The sequence below is a fragment of the Homo sapiens genome, chromosome 11 (assembly GCF_000001405.40).
Source record: "Homo sapiens chromosome 11, GRCh38.p14 Primary Assembly".
NCBI classification, from domain to species: Eukaryota; Metazoa; Chordata; class Mammalia; order Primates; family Hominidae; genus Homo; species Homo sapiens.
In genome coordinates this window covers 69,920,124-69,925,571 of record NC_000011.10, presented here as the reverse complement: position 1 = coordinate 69,925,571, position 5,448 = coordinate 69,920,124, and positions in this window count along the sequence as shown.

Below are 5,448 nucleotides of genomic sequence, written 5' to 3'. Positions count from 1 at the left end.
CTGGGAGGCCGCTGTCTTGCACGGTCGGGGATGACTCCATTGCTTTTCAGGATATCTAAGTCAGGGGACAAGTAGTGAAAAAAAATCCCACACTGTGCAGCTGGCAGGGAAATTGCTGGAGTATGACTGAACAAACGCAGCAGCCAGTGCCAGTCTGGATACTTCTGGCCAAAAGGGTCATTCAGATGAGAGTATCTCCTGAATTAGTAATCATGGCAATTGTACCTCCAGCATCTTCCAGATGAGGTGATCAGGAGTGAGACCAGAGGGGGAATTACCCTCCATGCATCCACACATCCACCCACTTAAATCATCCATCCATCCATCCATCCATCCATCCATCCATCCATCCATCCATTCATCCATCCATCCATCCATCCATCCACTTATCCATCCATCCATCCATTCATCCATCCATTCATCCATCTATCTACCCATCCATCCACCCACCCACCCACCCATCCATCCACCTACTCAACCATACATCCACCCTCCCATCCTACCATCCTCCCATTCATCCATCCATCCACCCACCCTTATATCCACCTACCTGCCCATATATTCTTCCATCCAACCATCCATCTATCCACCTATTCATCTATCTACCCATCCATCCACTCACCAACCCACCCATTTATCCATTCACCCACCCATCTATCCATCCATCCATCCATCCATCCACCTATCCATCCATTCATCTACCCATCTATCCACCCATTCATTCATACAACCATCCACTCATCCATCCATCAATTCATTAAAGATTTACTGCAGCCCAGCATGTACCAGACCCTTTGGGTCTCATTTGGGTACCAGACCCTTTTGGGTCTGCTGCTGTGGACCCAATGACAAGAAGGACAGACTCTGCCAACAGTGGGGCTGACAGAAGGCGAGGGGAGCATTGAGAAATTGCAGGTGTGGAACATGAAGAAGGAGAAGCAGAGGGAGCATGTGACAGGGAATTGGGAGACCCTCTCTGAGGAAGTGACATGCAAGCTGAGAATGAAGGATGGGGCAGTGTCGGCAAAGCCTATAACAGGTGGGGTGGGAAATCTCAGGCAGAGGAAGGAAGCAGGTCTGTGAGTCTGGAGTATGGGAGGAGCAGAGGGGCATTCTGGCCCACTGGAGCAGAGCTCTGAGCTTAGCATGTGGTGTTGGGAGGCCAGGAAGTTCAGCAGGCTGGGATGGAGGGTCTCATGGGCTCTACTGAAGGCAGGAGCTGGACACATCTCCATCCCTCCCAGCTTGGTCCTCTTCCCTCTGCCTACCCCCCATGCCAGGAGCTGGCCTTGTGGCTGCAGGTGTCGGTGAGGGGCTGGGTGATGAAACGTGGTCCCAGGGGGAGCCATGAGGAGGGATGGTGCTTGCCTCTCACTTTCCTCTCCCCAAGCCAGTTGCCCGCTGCCGAGCCCCAGACAATCTCTTCTGTTGCTGCCGGACAGGCCTGCTTGGCTGCCCTGTGGAAACCTCCAACCCAAGGTGGCTAGAGCCAGTGTGGCCTCATCCTCCAGCTGCCTGCTGTCCACACCAACCTGGGGCATGGCACAGGGGCATAAGAAGGGGCCTCTCCTGGATCTGCTTGGATTCACTGAGGGCGTGAGAAAAAGAGGGCAATGGTGAACCGCAGATTCTCGGTTGCAGCCACTGATGGCCCAAGCTTCAGTCCTCAGGAAGGGAGACAGTCAGGGGCAGCTCTGGCAGGGACCTCAGGGCTCCGTATCAGGGGGCTGGGCTGGAGAGGCCTCTGAGGCATCCAGACGGAGCTGTGGAGTAGACACTGGAGGCTGGGCCGGTGATCAGGGGAGAGGGTAGAGTTATGAGTTTGGAGACCATGAAGGTCTAGACGTGTTCAACCCACAGGACCCATGAGTCCACCTAGAGAGGGCCTGTTGGAGGAGGGAAATCTGAGGCCCGGAGCAGTTGGAGAGAAAGGGAGATCAGGAGGGTGTGGGTTTCCCGAATCCAGACCCATCCTGCTGGAGCATGAGCCTGGTCAGTTCAGCGTCTCCATGGAACCTGTATTCTGAACTCAAATCTTTCCTCCCTGTCCTAGCTCCAGCTGCATTTCATGAACCCAGATCTGGCATATTCCTCTGCTGGGGCCGCATCATCCCAGGAATAAGTCAAAACTCTGCCTTTGGGGACCTTCGCAGCTGGGCTGCTGGTGATCCCTTCAGTCATTTAATGTCCCTGCCTCCTCCCTCACGGGTTCCATCCAGCCACGCAGAGCCCTCCCAGTGACTCAAACATGCATTTCCAGACCCACCACCCGCCAGTGACTGGAGCAGGTCACGCTCTGCCTCACAACCCTATGCTGTTCCCACTGTGCACAATGTTCTTCCCTGCATTCTTCCCCTGGCACACTCCACTGCATCCTTCATGGCCCCTTTGTGTTGATCCATCTGGTTCTCAGGCAGTATAGCAAAGAGTGAAGGGTGCAAACTCTGGAGCCAGACTGCATTCTAGGACTCCTGCAACTAAGTCCCATCCATAGAGGGGCGCAAACCACAGAAACACACGCACACTCAGCGCTGGAAGCTGAGGGCCCAGGATTCGGGTGGAGGCAGGGTCAGTGTCCAGCAGCTCTGCGGGCTTCTGCAGGCTCCTTGGCCTGCCGCAGTAGAACCCTAGTCTCCCTGCCATGTTCGCCTGTGTACATGCCTGCAGTTCCCCCTTCTAGAAGAAGAACCCCAGACAGATCGGATCAGGGGCCACCCTGCTCCCTCATCTTCACTAATCACATCCGCAACGCTCCTGTGTCCCAACAGGGTCACGTTCTGAGTCCTGGCGTTAGGACTTCAGCATATGAACATGGGGCTTGGGTGGGTGAAATTCAGCCTGTAACACCTGCCCAGCCTAAATTCCCACAGAGCACCCCCAGGACCTCCGTCCTCCTCAGCACTTGCTAGTGTGGGGCAAGGGGAGCTGGGTCCCAGCTGGAGGAACCCTAGCTCCTGTGGGTTTCCTTCCCGCTTGCCCGGCATTGAAGGCCAGTGGGCTTCAAAGGCCCGCCCAGAACACCCAGCTCCACCCCTGACCCACCTCGTGGCCTCCCCCAGGCCATTCCCAGCAGCCCCACTCCCCTGGGCCTTCCTGGTGTCCCCAGTTCCCAGAACCAACCCAAGGACGCTGTTCCGGGAATGGGCTTCCTGGGACACTCACTGCCCTGCTCCTTCTCACCTCTTCCAACCCCTGCCTGCTGCAGCCTGGAAGCTCTGAGGGGCCAGCCCTGCTGGAGCTGTGCCCTGGGCTCCCCCCGCTGGCCTGAGATCCCCACTCCTTAGCCACGTAGAGAAAGTGGGGAGGGGTATGGTGACAGCGGGAGGTGCCTGAGTCCCTGGAAGGGGCAGCTGCGGAGCCACCCATCATGAGTCACTTTCCCATCTTCTCCTAAAGGCACATACCCCACGCCGACCCCGCAGACAGCAGGGCCCCACTTTCCGCACCCCATGATCCAGAAGGCGTGGCTCAAGCCGAGTCCTGCCCTGGGCGGGTGTAGAGATGCCAACACCCACTTCACACCATCCCTGCCTGCTCCCCAGTCCCGGGGCACACCCCGAACTTTCCAGCCTCCAGGCCTTGTCTGTGCTGGGCCCCTCACTACCCAGAAACGCACTGTCTCTTCCTCCCATAGCTGAAATCCAGCCACCAGGGAGCCCCAGGGTCCTCGTGCCGCCAGCCCTGAACCTTGATTTTCATTTTTCTTGTCTCCCAGTTGGACTGTGAAGCCAGCGAGAGCATGGGGGCCTGGCTGTCCTGCCCCAGCCTTCCTCGGGGTGTCCTGGCTCTGTCCCGTGAGCTGCGTGACACAGGCCCACCCACAAGTGGCGTGACGCAGGCCCAGAGCCACAGGCTGGACAGCTCCACTCCCCAGGACTCACGCCGTGGATGTCACGAAGCTTCACTTGTCTCCACAGAATAAAATCCAGCCCGAGGTCTGGTTCCTCCTGGGGTTCAAGGGACATCCAATCTCTCCCCAGCAGGGGATCAAAGGCCTTGGGTAGGGTTTTTTAACCTGTGGTGCTCTCGGCAGGATGCCCAGAGCCTCCCCCTTGGTCCTGCTGCCTCTCGGTGACTCCCGGTGGCCCCCTCCGGAGAGGCCACAGCCCTTTACCCTCCTCCTTCTCTTGGGACACCCCCTTTCCCAGGCTGAGCCCAGCCTCTCTGGGTCACCCCAGCTTTATTTCTTGTAGGGCAAGCAGATCATTTTATTTTTGACCGAAGGGCTCCTGAAAAGCCAGGATGCCATGAGCAGCCAGGACTTGGCCCTCCCCACCTTCCTAGGGGTGGCAGGGGGTTGGTGTCTCACTGATTACCCGACCTGACCCTAACCTCATGTATTGGAGTGAACAGTGAGTAGGAACTTCAGAGGCAGCTCCGAGTCCTCAGAACACCCTCAGGGAGGCTGTCCTGCCACACTGCACCTTGAGAAGTCTGGAGCCCTGAGTGGCCCGGCCTGCCTGTGTCATGCTGCTGATGGGCAGAGCCAGGGAGCAGCCCCAAACCCCAGCCCAGGCCCTCGCTGAGGAGCACCGGGCTCCCAGGGACTCATCTGAGGGCTGTCCCCAAGCAGAAGGCAGCTTGGGCACTGATAGCCTCTGACAGCCTCCCCCACCCTCCTGCACCTGTGGCTGCTGCAGGCCGCGGTGGGCCCCGCTCCTGGGGCAGCAGGAGGACCCCACCTGGTACCCGCCACATTACCCTATTGATGCCACAGGGCTTCGAATTCATGTCCCCCCGCCCCATGGCTGCAGGTTGGGGCTTCGGAGCTCAGTGGTTGCAGGCCCTGTGTGGCCACATCTACACTGAGGCTGCAGCACTGGGGCAGGGGCAGGTGCACAGACGTTTGTGGGAGGTGGGATCAGGCAATGCCACCCCGTCCATGCAGCTGGTGCATCCCCTGCAGCCCCAGCAGCTGAGGAAAATGTCGAGAAAGGACCTGGACCTCCTGGGGGACTGGCACACGCCAGCTGGAACCACTGAAGAAGCCCCATGGAAGCCGGCTGGGGAGAGGAGGTGGACCTGAGGGAGGACTCACCCCAGGAGGGAGGACTCAGCCTGAAAAGGGAGGACTCACCCAGAAGCGGGAGGGCTTACCCCAGGAGGGAAACTCACCTCAGGAGGGGAACTCACCCTAAGGAGGGGGACTCACCCAGAGGAGGGGGAACTCATCTAGAGGGGGGGGCACTCACCCAGGAGGGGAACTCACCCTGAGGAGGCAGGACTCACCTCAGGAGGGGAACTCACCCAGAGAAGGGAGGACTCACCTCAGGAGGGGAACTCACCCTGAGGAGGGGGAACTCACCCAGAGGTGAGAGGACTCACCCCAGGAGGGGAACTCCGGGTTGAGGAAGGAGGGGTCACCCTAGGAGGGGGAACTCACCCTGAGGAGGACTCACCCTGAGAAGGATGGACTTACCTCAGGAGGGAGGACGCATCCCAGGAGGG